At 43.7% G+C, this 22,600-nt stretch overlaps 2 pseudogenes, besides 1 other annotated feature; one reads left to right on the forward strand and one right to left on the reverse strand.

Moving 5' to 3' along the window:
* SSX19P (SSX family member 19, pseudogene) lies at positions 1,326-7,505 on the forward strand (annotated as a pseudogene).
* Positions 6,656-6,915: a silencer, noted in NCBI's record as "fragment chrX:48186958-48187217 (GRCh37/hg19 assembly coordinates)". NCBI's record gives its function as "represses an EF-1alpha promoter that drives an FKBP-Casp9 reporter gene in an ReSE screen in HepG2 liver carcinoma cells {active_cell/tissue: HepG2}" and the evidence as "EXISTENCE:reporter gene assay evidence [ECO:0000049][PMID:32094911]".
* S100A11P9 (S100A11 pseudogene 9) lies at positions 16,030-16,330 on the reverse strand (annotated as a pseudogene).
* Positions 16,331-22,600: the final 6,270 nt, after the last annotated feature.

The raw sequence follows: 22,600 nt of genomic DNA on the forward strand, positions 1-22,600 counted from the left end.
AGCTCAAGCTGTCCTCCCATCTTGGCCTACCGAAGTGCTGGGACTACAGGCGTGAGCCACTGTGCCTGGCCCAAAGTTATTTTTAATCAGCTCCTTGAAAAACATCTCCATTGCATTCTCTTTTCTCTCTTTCTCTCTGGGGCCTTTCAGGATTTTATCTTTATCCTAGAAATTTTACTCCTAGGGAGTGTGTGTGTATATATGTGTGCGTGTGTGTGTGAGCGTGTGTGTGTGTGTGTGTGCGCCTGTGTGTTAATCAGGTTCAGAACTAGGTGACTTTTTTCAGTTTGAAGATTCATGTGTTTGTTCAGTTGAGAAAATTCTAGAACATTATTTCTTCAAGTACCGCCTTCTCTACAGTCTTTCTATTCTTTTTTTTTTTTTTTTTCCTTTTTGAGTCGGAGTTTTGCTCTGTCATCCAGGCTGGAGTGCAGTGGCACAATCTCAGCTCACTGCAACCTCTGCCTCCCGGGTTCAAGTGATTCTCCTGCCTCAGGCTTCCACATAGTTGGGATTTCAGGCGCCCACCACCACACCGGGCTAATTTTTGTATTTTCAGTAGAGACGGGGTTTCGCCATGTTGGCCAGTCTGGTCTCAAACTCCTGACCTTAGGTGAGGTGCCTGCCTCAGCCTCCAAAGGGCTGGGATTACAAGCGTGAGCCACGGCACCTGGTCCAGTCTTTCTATTCTCTACCTCTGCAACTTCTATTGGATGAACGTTGAAACTTCTGGGCTCTATCCTCCATTTCCTTTACTATTTTCATTTCATACTTTCTATTTCATAATCCTTTTCTCCTATACGGTGAAGTAGTGCCATGCCTGAACACATTTTTTCATTGGGTTGTTCCAGTTTCTCTTACTGATATGCAAAATCTTTGTTGTATATTAGAGATGGTTACTGTTAATTTATTGAGGATGCTTCACCAATTTCCCCAACATTTGCCTTTTTAAACAGTTTTGTGGTGTTTTTTGAATTAGATGATACTTTAATTTTTACATTGTTATGTCAGATTCATTGTTCATAGCCTTAGTGTAATATCAGGAAGTGCCTATGACACCTCCAGATGTCTTACACTGTAATATTTTGCTAAATTTTCATCTAGTTCTTTATGACTTCACATTTTCACGTTTAAGTAACTGATTTTTTAGAATTTATTATTTTATGTGGTTTAAAGTAAGGATTTAATCTTTATTTTTTCAAATAGATAGATACTTGTCAAGCAATCATTTATTATACAACCCATCATCTTTTGCCCACTGTTTGAAAATGCATGCTGAAATTTGCGTATAGATTAGTCTGTTTCTTGACTTTCTATTTTGTTTCACTAATAAATGTTTCTATGTGCATTCATTTTTTATTGCAGCTGTAACAAATTTTCAATAGCTTAGACAACGCTAGGTACAGTGGCTCAGGCCTATAATCCCAGCACTTTTTGGAAATCTTTACCAACAAAGAAAAATTCTGATGTATTCTCTTTCAGTTGAATGTCCTCAGATGACTTTCAGCAAACTCTAGAGAATCTTCCCGAAGGTGAGTATCTCTCAAATCTAAATGGCCAGAGAACCTTTGTCCCTCCATGGATGCGAAAACTGGTAAGAGTGGGAGAATATCAAAAATGCCCTCACTGTCTCTTTTTCCCATGTCTATCACAACACCTGATGTAGCATTGACGGCTTGATAACACTGACAGTTGTAATCCTTAATACTTCTTTTGTTTTCATAGTGCTGCCAGATATTCTAAGCAGGTTACATGGATTAATTTATTTAATCCTTAAGAATACGTCTATGACGTTGTTTCTGTTATTATCTCCAAAGAATAACAAGTCACACACTTTGGTTGTCATCCATATAAAAGCCATGTAACTTGGCGCAAATCTTCTAAGTTCTCTGAGCTCCAGATTCCTGGTCCATGAAATGGAAGTAAAGAATCATAGTTTATGTTTTAGATCATAGTTATCAGCAGCATAATAATAAAATGAGGCTATCATTGTACAGAGATGTTAAAGAGTTTTCCTGGGGCACAGTGTCAGTGGTAGTCTAATCCAGAGCTCCAAGCCATTTAAAGCTCATTCACGTTTGCATTTGTTTATGAAGTTCAGATGTTGCTCACTAGGGCTTTACCCCATAGGGCCTGCTGGTGCTTCCATTGAGACACCCACTCTCGCAACAGGAAGGACCAGCTGGCCTCTGATCCGTTACTAGAGCCACTCGCATGGCTTAGGAATCGGTTTGACTGTTGGCCCCTCCCTACTGCGAGCTCCTTGAGGGCTTTGTCTATACCTGGTGCATCCAAGAAGCCCCCGTCCCAGCCCAGGGGATTCCTTGGAGGCCCCTGAATGAGTGACTCCACAAGTACGTATTATACTCCGGTTTAGAGGGTAAAGGAATCTGGGATTGGGTTGCCAGTATGGAGGCCAAATTCAAAGAAGGATCATGAAAGGTATTAATTGTTATTATTACTATATTTAAACAGTGTTTATAAGCTCAGAGAGGACTTTCCCTTAGCCTATTTTACATGTATTATTCACTATTACATAATTGAGGAAGCTGAATAAGTGTGGCTTAAGACTGTTGGTCAGTGACCCACCCCAATGCAGCAAGAATTGATATGGGTACCACCTCACTGAATTCCACATTCAATGTTGATGCCTCAGTAGGGTGGTATGCCAGATCTGGTACTGCTTTCTTTGCTGCCTAGATTAATTTCAGCAAACCATTTCTTTCCCTCTCCCTTCCCTGTATACATCTCCCCACACCATCTTTCCCAGCAGTGTTTTGTCCCCTCCCTATGTTTTTACATTTACTCTCCCAACAGCTGTCTACAAGCTTATATGGGATCCCTTGTATTTTATAGAAGCTCTTCCTTTTGTAGACCTGTGAATTCTTAGAATGCTATGCCCCAAATCTTCTGTATATCACACTCTCAATTAAATGGAGATTTTTGCTGTTTGCAAGAATGTGAGTCTTAAAAGAGTGTGAAGATAACCAATCTAACCCTGGAAACCCCATTCCTTTAGACCAATCCTTTCCCTTCTAACCTCCCCTCCCAGGTTTCTCCTAATTTAGGCAAGTGTAACTCTCCCAGCAAAGTTGAGAACATTGATTAAGGTAATGCATGTGAAGACTCTTTGTAAGCTCTAAAGCACTATAGAAATGTCACCGATACTGTTTATCTGTGACCTTCATATTATAAAGATCATGCCCAAGAAGCCAGCAGAGGAAGGGAATGATTAGAAGGGAGTGCCAGAACCATCTGCCCTACAAAACGATCTGAAGCAGCTGTGCCCCCCGGGAAAAGCAAATACCTCTGAGAAGATTCACAAGAGATCTGGTAAGAGGAAACAATTCGGGAACAAACCCTCTGGCTTTCCTGGCTATGTTCAGGTGTGTGGATTGGGTGTGTGGCATGGACCCCAGACAAGTCTAGGTCCCAGCTGGACTGAGGAGCTTGCCCAGCTCCAGAAGAGATGTCAGACATGACTTCCAGAGACACAGAGTGGAGTTGTCATCCATATAAAAACCACGTGACTTGGGGCAAGTCTTTCAAATTTTCTCAGCTCCAGATTCCCAGTCTATGCGATGGAAATAAAGAATCATAGTTCACAAATTGTTTGGAGGCATTAAATTTAATCTAGAAGGCCTGATGACATGAAAGGTGCTCAAGCAATTCTATCTGTAATTACCTGGGATCATATCTTACGCAGCTCAATGCCTGATAACCAATCAGGTGTACTTCAGAGATATTGCAGGTTCTGTTCCAGACCACTGCAATAAAGTGAGTCACACATTTTTTTGTTATTGTCATTTCACAGTGCATAAAAACTTTATGTTTACACTATCCTGTAGTCTATTAAGTGTGCAATAGCATTGTCTAAAAATGTACATACCTTAATTTTAAAATAATTCATTTATAAAAAATGCTAACAATCTTCTGAGCCTTCAGTGAGTCACACTCTTTTTGCTGGTGGAGGGTCTTGCCTCGGTGTTGATGGCTGCTGGCTGATCAAGGTGGTGGTTGCTGAAGATTGGAGTGGCTGTGGCAGTTTCTTAAAAGAACACAGCAATGAAATTTGCCACATTGATTAGCTCTCCCTTTCATGAAAGATTTCCCTGTACTGTGTGATGCTACTGGATAGCATTTTACCCACAGTAGAACTTCTTTCAAAGTTGGAGTCAATCCTCTCTAGCTATGAAAGTCCTAGATGGCATCTCCTTCCAATAGAAGGCTATTTTATCTACATTGAAAATCTGTTGTTTAGTGTAGCCACCTTCATCAGTGATCTTAGCTAGATCTCCTGGATAACTTGCTGCAGCTTCTCCATCAGGGTTTGCTGCTTCACCTTGCACTTTTATGTTATGGAGATGGCTTCTTTCCTTAAACCTCACGAACCAACTTCTACTAGCTTCACGTGTTTCTTCTGCAGCTTCTTCACCTCTCTCAGCTTTCATGGTCGTGAAGAGAGTTCAGGTCTTTCTCTGAATTAGACTTTGGCTTAAGGGAATGTTGTGGCTGGTTTCATGTTCTGTCCTGACCACGCAATCTTCCTCTATTTCAGCAGTAAGGCTGCTTTACTTTCTTATTCGTCTGTTCACTGGAGTATTAGTATCATTATTTCCTTCAAGACCTTTCCTTTGCATTATATACTATTATTTCCTTCAAGAACTTTTCCTTTGCAATCACAGCTTGGCTGTTTGGTGGAAGAGGCCGAGCTTTCAGCCTGTCTTGGCTTTCAGCATGCTTCCTCACTAAGCTTAGCCATTTCTAGCTTGTGATTTAGAGTGAGAGACATGCGACTCTTCCCTTCCTTTGAACACTTAGTGGCCATTGTAGGGTTGTTCATTGTCCTAATTTCAGTATTGCTGTGTCTCAAGAAATAGGGAGGACCAAGAAAAGGAAGGTAGGCAAGGAAGAGCTCATCGGTGGAGCAGTCAGAACACACACAACATTGATCAATTAAGTTTGTCATCCTCTGTGGGTGCAGTTCCTGTTACCCCTAAAACAATTACCCACAACAGGGTGATTATTATCAATAATTACTTAATTGTACATTTAAAAAAACTAAAAGAGTGTAAATGAATTGTTTGTAACACAAGGATAAATGGCTGAGGGGATGGATACCCTATTTTCTATGATGTGATTATTATGCATTGCATGCATGTATCAAAACATCTCACGTACCCCATAAGTATATACACCTACTGTGTACCCACAAAAATAAAAAAAATATTTTAAAAGACTAAAGAACAACAAAACAATTGCAATCATAATATCAAAGCTCATTGATCACAGATCACTATAACAGATATAATAATAATGGAAAAGTGTAAAATTGGTGAGAATTTCAAAAAAAAATTACAGTATCTGCGAAGCAGGATAAAAATGAGGTGCCATAAAGCAAGGTTTGCCTTGTGCCCTTAACAAATACGTGCAGCATGAAAGGAGGTATGGGTGAGTGTTCCCATAAGTGAAGAGGTTGGGAATCTAAACCTGACAACGGAAGGAGCCAGAAGCTAAAACTTTAATTGGTATTTGTCGTGTATTGGTGTGGATCTAAGGCCTCAGCCTCTCTAAGCCAGAGAATGTGAAAAACTGGATAAAGAAGGCCCATGGGCACTTGGTGGTGGGGAGGCATCTACTTTTTTGAGAAAACAGAGCCTAACACTCTCCAACCCACCCAACCCTCACTTTCCAACTCTTCTCCATCATAGGACCCAAAAGTGGGAAACATGCCTGGACCCACAGACTGCATGAGAGAAAGCAGCTGGTGATTTATGAAGAGATCAGCGACCCTGAGGAAGATGACGAGTAACTCCGTAAGTGAACCTCCCGCTCATCCCCCACATCCCTGCAGATGTGCTATTCTGTTATGATACTGGTATCCCATCTGTCACTTGCTCCCCAAATAATTCCCTTTTCTAGGGTACAGCATTGAGGCTGAATGATGAGATTTCCCATTCTCTTTCTTTCTTTCTTTTCTTTCTTTCCTTCTGTCTTTTTTTTTTTTTTTTTTTTTTTGGAGGGATTCTTGCTCTGTCGCCCAGGCTGGATGTGGTGGCCCGATTTCGCCTCACTGCAACTTCTGCATCCCGGTTCAAGCAATTTTCTTGCCTCAGCAACCTGAGTAGCTGGGATTACACGTGTGCACCCCACACACCCGGCTAATTTTTGTATTTTTAGTAGAGATGAACTTTCCCCATGTTGGTCAAGCTGGTCTCGAACTTGCCTCTCCACCTGCCTCGGTCTCCCAAAGTGCTGGATTTACAGGTGTGAGCCACCGCACCCGGCCGATTTCCCATGCTCTTTCTACTCCCTGCCCTGTATATCCAGAGATGCTCCCTACCCAGGATGCTGTGGGTTCCCAAACCCCAGGTCAGCCCTGATATGCGGGCCACACCTTCCTCTAGCCTAGGAATCGATAAACCAGGTGAGGAAGTCACTGTAGCATGAGCAGATGGTTCACTTCGAGGAACCGTGGAAGGCGTGTGCAGGCCCTGAGGTAGGGCAGAATCAGAGTGTGCAGGGTCTGCAGGTCAGGAGGAGTTGAGATTGAGTTGTCATGTGGTGGGAACTCACTGCCACTTTCTTTCCTTCTCTCTTCTTGCCTCAGCCTCAGGGATATGACACATGCCCATGATGAGAAGCAGAATGTGGTGACCTTTCACGAACATGGGCGTGGCTGCGAACCCCTCATCATAAGGTGCATAGCAAGTGAAAGCAAGTGTTCACAACAGTGAAAAGTTGAGCGTCATTTTTCTTAGTGTGCCAAGAGTTCGATGTTAGCGTTTCCGTTGTACTTTCTTACAGTGTGCCATTCTGTTAGATATTAACATTTTCACTGTTCAGCAATACATGCTTAATGCATATTTCGGTTTGTGTATCCATGCACCTACCTTAGAAAACAAGTATAGTCAGGTATTCTCTCCATAGAACAGCACTACCCTCCTCTCTCCCCAGATGTGACTGCTGAGGGGAGGTCTGAGTGTTTAATTTCAGATTTTTTCCTCTGCATTTACACACCCCCCCACACACACACACACCAAGTAACACTATAAGCACCTCCCATCTGCTTGTACTCCCCTCATCCGATTCCCCTCTATCAGTCACTGACAGTTAATAAACATTTGCAAACGTTCCCCAGTTGTTTGCTCCTCTCATTATTGTGCACACAGCTCTCTGCATGTGTATGAATATTTCTTTAGGAAAGATTCTTAGAAGTGGAATTGCTGTGTCAAACGAGTCACTTATTCAACAAAAAACTAATGAGTGCATACTCGTGCTGAGCGCTGTTCTAGGTGCTGGAGAGACATCAGGGAACAAGGCAGACAGATGTTTCTGACCCCCATTCTAGAGGAGGATGTTTCCCGTTGTTGGGTTTCTTGGTTTGTTTGTTTGTTTCTTCTAGAGATGGGGTCTTGCTCTATCCAGGCTAGAGTGCAGTGGCATGATTATAGCTCAATGCAGCCTTGAACTCCTGGGCTCAAGTGATCCTCCCACAGCAGCCTCCAGAGTAGCTGTGACTACAGGCATGCACCATCACGCCCCGCTGATTTTTTTAGGTTTTGTCTAGAGAGTCTCACTATGTTACCCAGGCTGGTCTCCAACTCCTGGGCTCAAGCAATCCTCCCACCTTGGCGTCCTAATATATTGGGATTACAGGCGTAAGCCACCGCACCTGGCCTTCAGTTTTTATTTTGATAGAGACTATACACTTCAGTCCTGGAGCAGGATTCTGCAGCAGGTGGTTGGGCATCTTGGCCTTCGCTCTCTGAACCATTTTCGGGTTCTAGGGCTAGGACAGTCCATTTGGGAGTATGTGGGAGGAGACACAGATGAAATCGTCATCTGGGGAATGTGGAGGGATGAGGAAGATGCGTGCACTGTAGACCCTGTGATGGCCAGGGAATAGAAGAGTCCACTTAGTCTCCATGCAAAGGATCAATGGTGGAAAAGTCTCCTGAACAGAAGCATGAGACTGCCCATCAAGGGTCTCACCAACCAAGGGCCTGGGGGCTGGGGTGGGGACGATGATTTGGGAATGGGACAGTTCTTTCTCACAGGTCCCACTGCACGGTGCGGAGGTGAAACAGTTGTGGGGAAGGGATGGGCAGAGGGAAGTCCGTTTTAGAACAAACCAGTGTGTGTGAATGAAGACATTAAACCTCCAGTCACACACAACAGACTTGAAACACCAGCCCCAGGTGGAGGCAGGATTGGAGCTGTTTTGAACATCCATAGCCCATCACCTTGGCCTCCTGTTTCTCCCCAGCCTCAGAAGGAGCACACTATCATCATTATGCCTATATGATAGATGAGAGACAGAGTCCCAGAGAGATGGTAGGCGTCTTGTCACAGGTCCTACAGCTGGCAGGTGCAGGAGGGGCTGAGTTTGGAGCTCACTGACTTCAGAAACATTAAGGAGGAAAGGTGTGTGTGGTGGAGGGAGGGAGAATTGAACAAACTCCGGGTTCTGTCCCCAGTCGCAAGGTAGAGGTTGTGGGTTCATTTTCCAAGACAAGGAGCCCTTAGAGATGGAGAGTGCAGGGAGGAAGAGGCAATCGTGGACATAGTGGGGACAGTGGGAGACAGAGATGTGCAGCCTGGGCAGAAGAAGGGCAGGCAAAGAAGCAGGGGATACCCAAGGCCAAGTGTGGGCTGTCACAGCCACCAGAGGGAGAGGGTGCCAGGAAGGAGGTTGTGGGGCTCCAGGAGAAACAGAGGTTCCCCAGATCTGTGAGCATGCCCTGCCTGGCACTGCAGGAAGAGGTGGCTGCCCCCCAGGTCAGTGTGGACGTACCTCCACCTGTGTCTCAGAGGAAACAAATTCTATTTTATCCCAATATAGTTCTGTATTACACAAATGTAATATTCCGATACTAGAAATTGAGTGCCTTATCCTCCATGCAAATAGAGGAGAGGATACCCTAAAGGAGATACTGAAGGATTTGATTTTTCTTTCTCCCTGGGAAGATGGGATCCATAAGTGGGGTCCCCCAGCCCACAAGACAAGTGCAAGGAAGGGTGGCTGGAAGATTGTGAGTTATGACAGGGAATATTTTTCCTTAGGTTCCATGAGTATATAAAGCTCCCAACTATCTGTCTATCATGGATAGATAAAGAGTGAACATGGTCCCCTCTCCACAAATGTGTTTCTCTCCTTCACTATTACAGTGAAGGTCTGAAGTTCCGTCAAGTTCTGATACATTACTTTTATTACTATTTTTCGTTTTTTTCTTTTTTCTGAGACAGAATGTCACTCTGTCGCCCAGGCTGGAGTGCAGTGGCGAGATCTCCCACTGCACTTCCCAGTTCGAAGGAATGTTGAGTAGGGCATGGGATCTATCTGCCATCTTGCTCCAATCATCTGGTTTTAGATATTTTATGTACCTTTGTCACTATATACGTGTAATTTTTCTCAATTAGGATTTCTAAATGGTTATTATTGGTATGCAGAAAACCTATCTATTACTATATATAATATTTTGTTACCTGTCTGGGTGCAGTTTCCCCTGCCTTTTGGCACAAGACTCAATCTGTTTTATTCTCAAAAAAAAAAAAAAAAAACTGATAATCTGGGTGTGGTGGCTCATGCCTGTAATCCCAGCACTTTGGTAGGCTGAGGTGTGTAGATCACCTGAGGTCAGGAGTTCGAGACCAACGTGGCCAAGATGGTGAAACCGCATCTCTACGAAAAACACAAAATAAAAAAAAATTAGCCACGCCTGGTGGCGCATGCCTGTATTCCCAGCTACTAGGGCAGCTGAGACGGGAGGATCACTTGAACTCGGGAGGCAGAGATTGCAGTGAGCCGAGGTGGCATCACTGCACTCCAGCTTGGGTGACAGACATTCTATCTCTAAATAAAAAGAAAAAGAAAAAAGAAAAATCACTTCACAGGCAATAGATAGTTATAAAAGGATACTTTATGGAAGATTTCATAGAGGAGACTGATGGAAAGAAAGAAGTGTATATTTTACAGAGCTGAGCAGTTCACAGCAAAAATCACCAGAACTGCCTTTTTCTCCAAAATTATTACCCCTAAGCTATTCTACTACTGGTTCTTCTAGTCCTTCCCTCTATTCCAAATCCTCAAATTGTCCATTTTCTTATTGCAATAATTTTCCTCTGTGCAGATCTAGGTCCTCCACAACACTTAGCACTCTCTTCGAGTGTTTGCATGCCCATTGTTTTAGCTCAGGTTCCCAACGAAACAGAATTTGGGCCATTCCAGACACCTCTAGACAGACTATACCGAGAAACCATGCCTGGAACGGTGCAGGGGGAGAGGAGAGGAGAGGGAATTTACATACCTGGCTCTCACTCCTGGTTCCTTTTCTTAACGGTCAAAATTTATCCCACAGGCACGAGCTCCCCTACACTTCTAGATTGCATCATCTGCCCCCTTGGCAGCTGTCTGGGAAGCCAGATCCCACACTTGGAAGTGTAGTGTTTCATACAATCCAAAAGTGGTAGCAGAGGCCAGGTGTGGTGGCTCACGCCTGTAATTCCAGCACTTTGGGAGGCCGATGCAGGCAGATCATGAGGTCAGGAGTTCGAGACCAGCCTGGATAGCATGGTGAAACCCCGTCTCTACTAAAAATACAAATTTAGCTGGGCATGGTGGCGTGCACCTGTAATCCCAGATACTCGGGAGGCTGAGGTGGGAGAATCGCTTGACCTCGAGAGGCAGAGGTTGCACTGAGCTGAGATCTCACCATTACACTCCAGCCTGGACGACAGAGAGAGACTCAATCTCAAAAACAAAACAAAACAAACAAACAAACAAACACAAAAGTGGTAGCAGAAGTCAGAAAGTCCAGGTATGTAGCTACTTTGCCTAGTTGTAAAGCAGCAGCCAAGGGTGAAAACTGAATACTCCCAGGCAAGTCCTAAGTTCACCGAGTAACTGGAGTACCCATCTGTGTTAGTTAATTGCCTTTATCTGAAGGAAAAGTAAAACTCATGTCTCTGTGACAACCAGGTGCTTACAGCTTGGAGCGAGGCACCTAGGCTAAACTCCTCTGGTGACAGGGAGACAAGGACATCATCTTCCTCAATGTTCACATTTCAAAGAGATGGCACCAAGGCCCTGAAGAAAGACATTCCTAGGGGATGGGCGTGGTGGCTCATGCCTGTAATCCCAACACTTTGGGAGGCTGAGACTGGAGGATCACTTGAGGCCTGGAGTTCAAGTTCAAGACATTCCTGGGTTCTAGGATGGCCAGAGGCTTACAGATCAAAGGAAGAATTTACAAATACAAATTTTCTCAAGAAAATGCTCTAAGGAAAGTGAAATGGGGAAAGGTCTCTTCTTCCCTTTTGGCAACAGGAAAAATTCAATTTTATGTTTAGTTACCCTTACAATTTCCCCCTTTTGTTATTGTTTTATAGTAACACTGCAATTTTCTAATTATCTCCACTGCTGTTTCTATCTTTCTCTGTGTAGTTTGCAGCCACCTAGATATCCAACAAATCCATAGTAAGATGCAAAGCAAAGCAATTATCAGGATTATAATAGAATGATTTTTTTTTTTCAGGACGGAGTTTCACTTTTGTTGCCCAGGCTGGAGTGCAACGGTGCGATGTCGGCTCACTGCAACCTCTGTCTCCTGAGTTCAAGCGATTCTCCTGCCTCAGCCTCCCGAGTAGCTGGGATTACAGGCATGTGCCACTACGCCCAGCTAATTTTGTATTTTTTGTAGATATGCAGTTCCACCATTTTAGCCAGGCTGGTCTTGAACTCCTTACCCCAGGTGATCCGCCCACCTTGGCCTCCCAAAGTGTTAGGATTACAAATGTGAGCCACCATGCCCTGCCTAGAAAGAATTCTTAAATTCAGTATAATACTCCCCTTGTTTGGGCGGGGGGACCTTTAAACACATCATACTGGTTAATTGTGTCAAAGTCAAAGTAAATTATAGAGACAAATCCCTAAATCAAATGCTGTATTTGGGAATCACAAAATTGCAATCCAGGGCATATACAAGGACTAGGGTGGTCTTCAGTGTGTCCAACGAACAAACAGAAGTTGGAAATTTTATTAGAAAGAAAAATGTTACATATTGTTTTGAAATGAGGCTCATTGGCCCTAGAGAAGCTGGTTCATTCACACAATCAGCTTTCATATTCCCTCTTTTGATCAACATCTTTGTTTGAAAACCTCACTGATTAACCATATTAAAGTGAGGCTTCATTGTCACTCCATGCCAGGATGGACATGGGCCGGTTGTCTTTGTCCCATGTCAAGGGAAAGGTAAGGGAGTCTAGATCAGGGACATGGGCCATATTTGAGCCACAAAGAGGCCAGAAGGAAAAAAAATTCAGGTAGGTTTGTCTGGAGTTCAGCATCAAATTCCATCTTGTTAGTCCCATCTATATTAGCATTCATCTTGAAGCACTAGGCCAACATTTTCCTGTTGGTAGAACTGGCTTAACAAATATTAGACAGGCAACAAGAATGGAGCTCAAAGATCATAATACAAAAGTAATTAGCTATCGTTATTTTATTTTATTTTATTTTATTGCAATGCAGTCTTCCTCTGTCGCCCAGGCTAGAGTGCAGTGGCGTGATCCCGGCTCACTGCAACCTCCACCTCCTGGGTTCAAGCGAATCTCCTGCCTCAGCCTCTCGAGTAGCTTGGATTACAAGTGCTCACCACCACACCCGGCTAATTTTTGTCTTTTCAGTAGAGACAGGGTTTCATCATGTTGGCCAGGCTGGTCTCGAACTCCTGACCTCAAGTAATCCGCCCTCCTTGGCATCCCAAAGTGCTGGGATTATAGGCACAAGCCACCGCACCCAGCTATAATTAGCAATAGTAGAATAAATTTAGTTTGTACAATGATTTTGAACTAAGATCCCAAGCCTAAGGGCCACCAGCTAAACAAATCAAAAGACTATGGGGGAATTGAATGAGACCTCTTATAGTCTTTGAGTAGCATTTGAGGACTGGGTTGAATTAAAGCAGAGTGCCAACTCTATAAAAGGGACCACTCTATAAAAAGGATTCACTAGGTGAATCAAAGGATTTGGGAGTCATGGTCTGCCAAGTGAAAAATGTAGACATTAAGGGGATAAGGGTCTCATTATGATATGAAGACTTATTCTGATGTCTTCGGAAAAGCTGTCTACAATGTGGAATCGTCAACTTCTCATCCTGATTTGTGGTTCGAATGTCTCTGGTTATGGCATTCGACAGTTTGGCGAACTCTTTGTGTGGTCCATACATCAGACACGAGACTTGTTCCTTAAAATGTATGCAGTTTGGATGGGTGCAGTGGTTCATGCCTGTAATCCTAGCACTTTGGGAGGCTGAGGTGGGCAGATCATGAGGTCAGGAGATAGAGACCATCCTGGGTAACTCGGTGAAACCCCGCCTCTACTAAAAATACAAAAAATTAGCCGGGGATGTTGTCACGTGCCTGTAGCCCCAGCTACTCGAGAGGTTTGGGCAGGAGAATCGCTTGAACGCGGGAAGCGGAGGTTGCAGTGAGCCGAGATCTCACCACTGCACTCCAGCCTTGGCGACAGTGTGAGACTCCGTCTCAAAAAAAAAAAAAAAAATTATGGTGTTTTTATCTTAGAGTATTTGTAAACCAAAAATAGCATCCTAAGCACCCCCACCCTTAACCATCTGAATGGACGTCCTCCTCAGCAAGGGCTCTTTTAAAATTAACCTGGGAGACTGTTTTAGGCCATGACAGGACGTGTTCGTCAGACATGCCTCATTATACCTCTCTGGCATCAATATCAACACAGACTTAAATCTCACAAGAAACGTGTTACAACCTAGTCTCTCTGAAGACTAGTACCTGAAGGCTTCCTCTGCAAATAAGAACTTGGGTCACCACAATCCTTTATCTTAACCCAGGCATTCCTTTCTGTTGATCCTAGGCATGTTTGTTTGTTTGTTTGTTTGTTGTTTTGAGACAGAGTCTAGATCTGTTGCCCAGGCTGGAGTATAATGGTGCATTCTCTGCCAACTGTAACCTCTGCCACCCGGATTCAAGCAATTCTCCTGTCTCAGTCTACCCAGTAGTTGGGGTTACAGGCACCCGCCATCACATCCAGCTAATTTTTTTGTATTTTTAGTAGAGACGGGGTTTCACCATGTTGGCCAGGCTGGTCTCCATCTCCTCACCTCAGGTGATTCATCTGCCTCAGCCTCCCAAAGTGCTGGGATTATAGGCATGAGCCACCAGGCCCGGCCAATCGTAGGTTTTTAGAAAACCCAACCAATTGTCAACTAGAAAATTTTTTAATCTACCTATAAACTGGAAGCCCCTGCTTCAAGTTGTCCTGCCTTTCTGGACCAAACCAATGTATTTCTTAAATGTATTTGATTGAGTCTTCATAAAATCTATAAAACCAAGCTGCACCCAACCTCCTTGGGCAACTCAGGACCTCCTGAGGCTGTGTCATGGGCCGTGGTCGCTCCTATTTGGCTCAGAATAAGTCTCTTCAAGTGTTTTCCAGAGTTTGACTCTTTTCATCAGCAGGCTTCAGGAACAGAGCAATTTCTGTTTTTAGTAATTTTATGGGAAAAAGTTGGATCTAGTCTAGTCTGTATGTAGATAACAAGAACTCGGCCAGGCGCAGTGGCTCAGGCCTGTATTCCCACCACTTTGGGAGGCCGAGGCGGGCGGATCACACGGTCAAGAGATTGAGACCATCCTGGCCAACATGGTGAAACACCGTCTCTACTGAAAATACAAAAATTAGCCGGGCGTGGTGGCATGCACCTGTAGTCCCAGCTACTCGGGAGGCTGAGGCAGGAGAATCGCTTGAATGCGGGAGGCAGAGGTTGCAGTGAGCCGAGATCCCGCCACTGCACTCCAGCCTGGTGACAGAGCGAGACTCTGTCTCAAAAACAACAACAACAACACAAAAAGAAAAAAAAACACAAGAACTCGAAAAAATGCAGAGAGCTACAATCTAATAACTGGTCTATTAGAGCTTTTCTTTAGCAACATAATTTTTCTCTATACATTGATCACTTAGGAATCTCAGATTTAAAAACCTCTTGAGCATAGAAAGTCAAACCAAGGCCGACTTTAGATTTCACCTACCTTCTTAAGGTTCCTGGGCCTGACAGAAAGTGACCGTTTTTATTCACCCACTCTAAAGCTAAAAACACTTGAAGTCAGGCATTCCATGCATTTTGATGAAAGCCTTGGTAATACAACCAATTTTTTTTTCTTTTTGAGACAGAGTCTTGCTCTGTCACCCAGACTGGTGAGATCTCAGCTCACTGCAGCCTTCGCCTCCTGGGTTCAAGCAATTCTCCTGCTTCAGCCTCCTGAGTGGCTAGGATTACACATGTACACCACCATGCCCTACTACATTTTTTCTTTATAATTTTTAGTAGAGATGTGGTTTCCCCTTGTTGGCCAGGCTGGTCTCAAACTCCTGACCTCAGGTGATCCACCCACTTCAGCCTCCCAAAGTGCTGGGATTACAGGTGTGAGTCACCATGCCCGGCCTTATAACCAATGTTTTTAATTGTATCTGTCTATAAAGAGAGAGCAGATTTTTTTGTGTGTGTTTAGAAAAAAGGTGGGTCAGGTGCAATGGCTCACACCTAAAATCCCAGAGCTTTGGGAGGCCACTTGAGCCCAGAAGTTCAAGATCAACCTGGGCAACATAACTAGACCCCCGTTGCTAAAAAAAAAAAAAAAAAAAAAAAAGAAAGAAAGATAGAAAAGAGAAAAGAAGTATGGTTTTATAACTACCTGCAGGTAGGGCCTGCATGAGGCGGCGGGTGTACTTGAGAGAAGAGAAGAGGAAAGGAGGAGAGGAGAGGGGAGGGGAGGAAAGCAGGGGAGAAGGGCGAAGGGAGGGGGAGGAAGGGGAGGGAGGGGGAGCGGTGGAGCAGCATGGAGGAGGGAATGGTTTTATTACTACCTGCAGGCAGGGCCTGCATGAGGTGGTAATTGTGCTGGGCCCAGGGTATGTGTGGGCTGTGAGCAGATGGTGATGGTGAGGCTGGAAAGAAAGGGGTTGGCTTGGAAACCAGGCCCAGGGGATCCTCAGATCCGCTTCTTGGAATGGGCAGCCTTGAGAAAAGAGTCATGGTAAGCCACAGTCATGCCATCCATCAGATGCAGAAATTCTTGGAAATCTAGCTGCCCATCACTAGTGAGGTCCAGTTTCTTCATCATGTGGTCAAAGACACTGGGGCCCTCTGGTTCTTCATGAAGGCATCCAGTTCTGTATTCATGAAGCTTGGGAACTCCATCTTGGAGTGAGTGCTATTGTAACCATCCTTTCCAGCCTATTTCTGGAAAATAGCAATCAGGGACTCTCTGTAGGGCTGGAGACTTTTGCCATGTTGGAGTTGAATGAGGCACCAAGAGCAGGTTTTTACTGGACCTGTGTGAATAACCATATTGCCATAGGAATATTTACAAATAGTTTTTGAATTCTGGAGGAATTGAGTAGTAAGAAAAAGCAAACATTTCCATCTCAGTTTACAAAAGTATACTTCACAAAATTATTATAAACTATAGATAGTTTAACAGAGAAAATTTTCTCTTTGTTTTCATTTTTTTGAGAAAGGATTGTGCCCCGTTGCACAGGCTGGAGTGCAGTGGTGCAAACACGGCTCCCTGCAACCTCTGGGTCCCAACTCAAGTGATCCTCCCACCTCGGCCTCCCAAGTAGCTGGGATCACAGGCACATGCCACCATGCCCAGCTAATCTTTTTATTTTTGTTTTTGTTTTTTTAGAGACAGGATTTTGCCATGTTGCCCAATCTGGTCTTGAACTCCCGGGCTCAAGCGATCCTCCTGCCTTGGCTTCCAAAGTGAGCCACCACATCCCACCAGAAAATTTTCTTAAATGTGGAAAACAAAACATTTAGGTAAAAAACAAATAAAGTTTTATTTTCTTAATTTCTTTCAGAAACCGGGTCTCCTATATTTCCCAGGTTGGTCTTGAACTCCTGCACTCAAGAGATCCTCCTGTTCCGGCCTCCAAAAGTGCTGGGATCAGAGGTGTGAGCCACTGCACCTAGCCCAAGAATAAATAAAGTTTTAAATAAAGGTCATAAAAACATTATTGGTTATTTAGCCTCATATAATTAATGTTTGTTCTGCTTGATCTTGATAATCAGTTGCATGAACCCATCAGTTTTCATTAGAGTTTTCAAAAATTATTTATTTAGTTCATTGATCTGAAAGTTATTACAAATCTATATTCAACAGTACTTGTTAAAATATTTTTTAAGAATCTGATTCTGGATGCCTTTAGAGAAGAATCAGCACTGTAGATGATAAAGCTTAGAATAGTAGCGATGAAAATCTGACGAAAGTTCAATAATTGACAAGAAAATTCAGTTATTTCTATTATAGAGAGCATTTTAAGATAACAACCAGAATCATGACTAATAGCATCACACCAGGACCATCAGACCTCTGTAAATTTTACATGATCTTCTGAACATTAACGTCAATAACATATCTATGTAAATGTAAACAGCGATTAGTATTTTTTATTATTTGACATTGCTTTTCATATAATCTAACATATCAAATAAGCCTAATGAGAGACACATTCTTTGAGGCTCTCCAGGGGCCTCACTGGTAAATCTCAAAGTCAATTTTAGGTTAAAAAGACTTAAATTAGAGTTTGATTAGTTTGTTCAACAGCAGTAGTTAAATTAAAAAAGAATTGCATTTTGGGGAAGTTTGTCAAAGATGTTAAAAGGCTCAAAACACTTGTGCAAAACAGGATCATGGGTCACTGTGGAAATAATAGTCACTCATTTAACCAGAGTGATAGTCCACAGACTTCAAAAGCAATACAGAAAGTTACACGGACTTAAAAACTTACCCTTTCAAAGCTCAGTTTTCCTAAGCAAGAAGAAACCTAATTAGTAGGCCGGGCGTGTTGGCTCACGCCTGGAATCCCAGCACCTTGGGAGGCCGAGGCGGACAGATCACTTGAGGCCAGGAGTTCAAGACCAGGCTGAGCGACATGGCAAAACCCCTTTTCTACTAAAAGGACAAAATATTAGCTGGGTGTCGTGGCCCACGCCTGTGGTCCCAGCTACAGGAGGCAAAAGAATTGCTTGAACCCGGGAGACAAAGGTTGCAGTGAGCCAAGATCCCGCCCATTGCATTCCAGCCTGGGCGACAGAGAGAGACTCCATCTCAAAACAAAACCCTAGGATCAACAGAAAGGAATGCCTGGGTTAAGATAAAGGATTGTGGAGACCCAAGTTCTTATTTGCAGAGGAAGCCTTCAGGTACTAGGCTTCAGAGAGACTAGGTTGTAACATGTTTCTTATTAGACTGAAAGTCTGTGTTGATGTTGATGCCAGAGAGGTATAATGAGGCATGCCTGACCCCCACTTCCTGTCATGGCCTGAAACCATCTCTCAGGTTAAATTTTAAAAGAGCCCTGGCTGAGGAAGAAGTCCATTCAAATGGTTGTGGGTTGGCGGGGGATAGGATTTTATTTTTGATCTACAAGTTCTGTAAGATAAAAGTGCATACATTTTAAGGAACAAGTCTGCTGCCTGATGTATGGACCACACAAAAAGTTCACCAAACTGTCCAATGCCATAACCGGAGACATTCGAACGACAAATCAGGATGAGAAGTTGACGTTTCCACACTATAGACAGCTTTTCCCAAGACGTCAGAATAAGTCTTCATATCGTAATGAGACTCTTACCCCCTGAATGTCTACATTTTTCACTTGACAGAACCCGACGCCCAAATCCTTTACCTCACCTAGTGGTCCCTTTAGAGTTGGCACTCTGCTTTAATTCAACCCAGTCCTCAAATGCTACTCAAAGACTACAAGAGGTCTCATTCAATTCCCCCATAGCTTTTTGATTTGTTTAGCTGGTGGCCCTTAGGCTTGGGATCTTGGTTCAAAACCATTGTACAAACTAAATTTATTATACTATTGCTAATTATAGCTGGGTGTGGTGGCTCACGCCTGTAATCCCAGCACTTTGGGATGCCAAAGAGGGGGGATCATTTGAGGTCAGGAGTTCGAGACCAGCCTGGCCAACATGGTGAAACCCTGTCTCTACTGAAAAGACAAAAATAAGTCAGTCATGTTGGTGGGCACCTGTAATCCCAGCTACTGGGGAGGCTGAGGCAGGAGAATCGCTTGAACCCGGGAGATGTAGGTTGCAGTGAGCCGGGATCACGCCACTGCACTTCAGGCTGGGCGACAGAGCAAGAATCCATTGCAATAAAATAAAATAAATAAAATAAAATAAAATAAAATAAAATAAAATAAAATAAAATAAAATAAAGTAAAATAATAAAATAAATAAAATAAAATAAAATAAACAATTGCTAATTATTTTAGAATTATGATCTTTGAGCTCCATACTTGTTGCCTAATATTTGTTAAGCCAGTTCTCCCAAGAAAATAATGTTATCCCAGTGCATCAAGATGATTGCTAATATAGATGGGACTAACAAGATGGAACTTGATGCTGAACTCCAGGCAAACCTGCCTGAAATTTTTTTTCCTTCTGTCCTCTTTGTTGCTCAAATATGGCCCATGTCCCTGATCTAGACTCCCTTACCTTTCCCTTGACATGGGATAAAGACAACCGGCACAGGTCCATCCTGGCATGGAGTGACAATGAAGCCTCACTTTAAGATGGCTGATCGGTGAGGTTTTGAAAGAAAGATGTTGATCAAAAGAGGGAATGTGAAAGCTGATTGTGCGAATGAACCAGCTTCTCCAGGGCCAATGAGACTCATTTCAAAACAATATGTAACATTTTTCTTTCTAATAAAATTTCCAACTTCTGTTTGTTCGTTGGACATAATGAAGACCACCCTAGTCCGTGTATATGCCCTGAATTGCAATTTTGTGATTCCCAAATACAGCATTTGATTTAGGGATTTGTCTCTATAATTTATTTTGACTTTGACACAATTAACCAGTATGATGTGCTTAAAGGTTGCCCCACCCCCTGACAGGGTGAGTATTATACTGAATTTAAAAATTCTTTCTAGGTAGGGCATGGTGGCTCACATCTGTAATCCTAACACTTTGGGAAGCCGAGGTGGGTGGATCACCTAGGGTGAGGAGTTGAAGACCAGCCTGGCTAAAATGGTGAAATCCCATCTCTAAAAAAATACCAAATTAGCTGGGCGTAGTGGCACATGCCTGTAATCCCAGCTACTCAGGAGGCTGAGGCAGGAGAATTGCTTGAACTTAGGAAACAGAGGTTACAGTGAGCCGACATCGCACCATTGCACTCCAGCCTGGGCAACAAGAGCGAAACTCCATCCCGAAAAATAAAAAATCATTCTATTACAATCTTGATAATTGCTTAGCTTTGCATCTTACTATGGACTTGTTGGATATCTAGGTAGCTGCAAACTATGCAGAGAAAGATAGAAACAGCAGTGGAGATAATTAGAAAATTGTAGTGTTCCTATAAAACAATTAACAAAAGGGGGAAATTGTAAGGGTAACTAAACATAAAATTGAATTTTTCCTGTTGCCAAGAGAGAAGAAGAAACCTGTCTCCATTTCACTTTCCTTAGAGCATTTCCTTTAGAAATTTTGTATTTGTAAATTCTTCCTTTGATACGTAAGCCTCTGGCCATCCTAGAACCCAGGAATGTCTTGAACTTGAACTCCAGGCCTCAAGTGATCCTCCAGCCTCAGCCTCCAAAAGTGTTGGGATTACAGGCATGAGCCACCATGCCCGTCCCTTAGGAATGTCTTTCTTCAGGGCCTTGGTGCCATCTCTTTGAAATGTGAACATTGAGGAAGATGATGTCCTTATCTCCCTGTCACCAGGGGAGTTTAGCCTAGGTGCCTCGCTCCAAGCTGTAAGCACCTGGTTGTCATAGAGACATGAGTTTTATTTTTCCTTCAGATAAAGGCAATTAACTAACACAGATGGGTACTCCAATTACTTGGTGAACTTAGGACTTGCCTGGGAGCATTTAGTGTTCACCCTTGGCTGCTGCCGTACAGCCAGGCCAATTACCAACATATCTGGACTTTCTGATTTCTGCTACCACTTTTTATTGTTCGTTTGTTTTGCTTTTGTTTGTTTTTGTTTTGTTTTGTTTTTGAGGCGGAGTCACCCTCTGTTGCCCAGGCTGGAGTGCAGTGGTGTTATCTCAGCTCATTGAAACCTCTGCCTCCCAGATTCAAGCGATTCTCCTACCTCAGCCTCCCGAGTAGCTGGGATTACAGGCGTGTACCACCATGCCCAACTAATTTCTGTATTTTTAGTAGAGACGGGGTTTCTCCATTCTGGCCAGGCTGATCTCCAACTCCTGACCTCATGATCCGCCTGCCTTGGCCTCCCAAAGTGCTGGGATTACAGGTGTGAGCCACCACGCCTGGCCTCTGCTACCACTTTTGGATTGTATGAAACACTACACTTCCAAGTGTGGGATCTGGCTTCCCAGACAGCTGCCAAAGGGGCGGGTGATGCAATCTAGAAGTGTAGGGGAGTTCATGCCTATGGGATATCTATTGCCTGTGAAATGAATTTTCTTTTTTTTCTTTTTCTTTTTTATTTAGAGACAGAGTCTCTGTCACCCGAGCTGGAGTGCAGTGGCCCGATCTCGGCTCACTGCAATCTCTGCCTCCTGAGTTTATGTGATCCTCCCTCCTCAGCTGCCCTGGTAGCTGGAACTACAGGCATGCAACACCAATGCCTGGCTAAGTTTTTCATTTGTATGTTTAGTAGAGAAGGGGGTTCACCATCTTGGCCAGGCTGGTCTTAAACTCCTGACCTCAGGTGTTCCACCCGCCTCAGTCTCCCAAAGTGCTGGGATTACAGGCGTGAGCCACCGCACCCAGCCTGTCACATTTATTTTGGAGAATAAAACAGGTTGAATCTTGTGCCAAAATGCAGGGGAAGCTGCACCCAGACAGGTAACAAAATATAATATACAATCATAGATAGGTTTTCTACATACCAATAATAACCATTTAGAAAACCAAATTGAGAAAAATTACACGTATATAGTGACAAAAGTACATACAATATCTAAAACCAGATGATTGGAGCAAGATGGCAGATAGATCCCGTGCCCTACTCAACATTCCATTGAACTGGGAAGAAAATGTTTTCAAGGGTCAATTCTTAACAGTAGAGGAAAATAGGAAAGCGTGTCAGCGGTCCACCAGAAATATTGAGGCATTCCTGGGAGATAGAGTAGATGGGGTCAGACTGATAGAGAAACCCAAGGAGACAAGACCACAGCTCAAATCACTGTAGGCGAGAGATGCTGTTTGCTTTTTGAGACAGACTTACTCTGTCGCCAGGCTGGAGTGCAGTGGCGTGATCTCGGCTCACTGCACCCTCCGTCTCCCAGGTTCAAGGGATTCTCCCACTTCACTCCCTGCAGTAACTGGAATTCACAGGCCAGCCCACCACTACTGCCTAATTTTTGTATTTTTAGAAGAGACGGGGGTTTCACCCTGTTGGTCAGGCTGGTCACAAACTCCTGACCTCAAGTGATCTGCCTGCCTTGGCCTCCCAAAGTGCTGATATTACAGAGTGGGTCACCGCGACCGCCCAGGAGATTCTCTTTGTAACAAAGCCTCTGAAAATCCCCAAACCCTAAATCAAAAAAAACACGGAGCTGG

Source organism: Homo sapiens, chromosome X, assembly GCF_000001405.40.
Source record: "Homo sapiens chromosome X, GRCh38.p14 Primary Assembly".
NCBI lineage: Eukaryota > Metazoa > Chordata > Mammalia > Primates > Hominidae > Homo > Homo sapiens.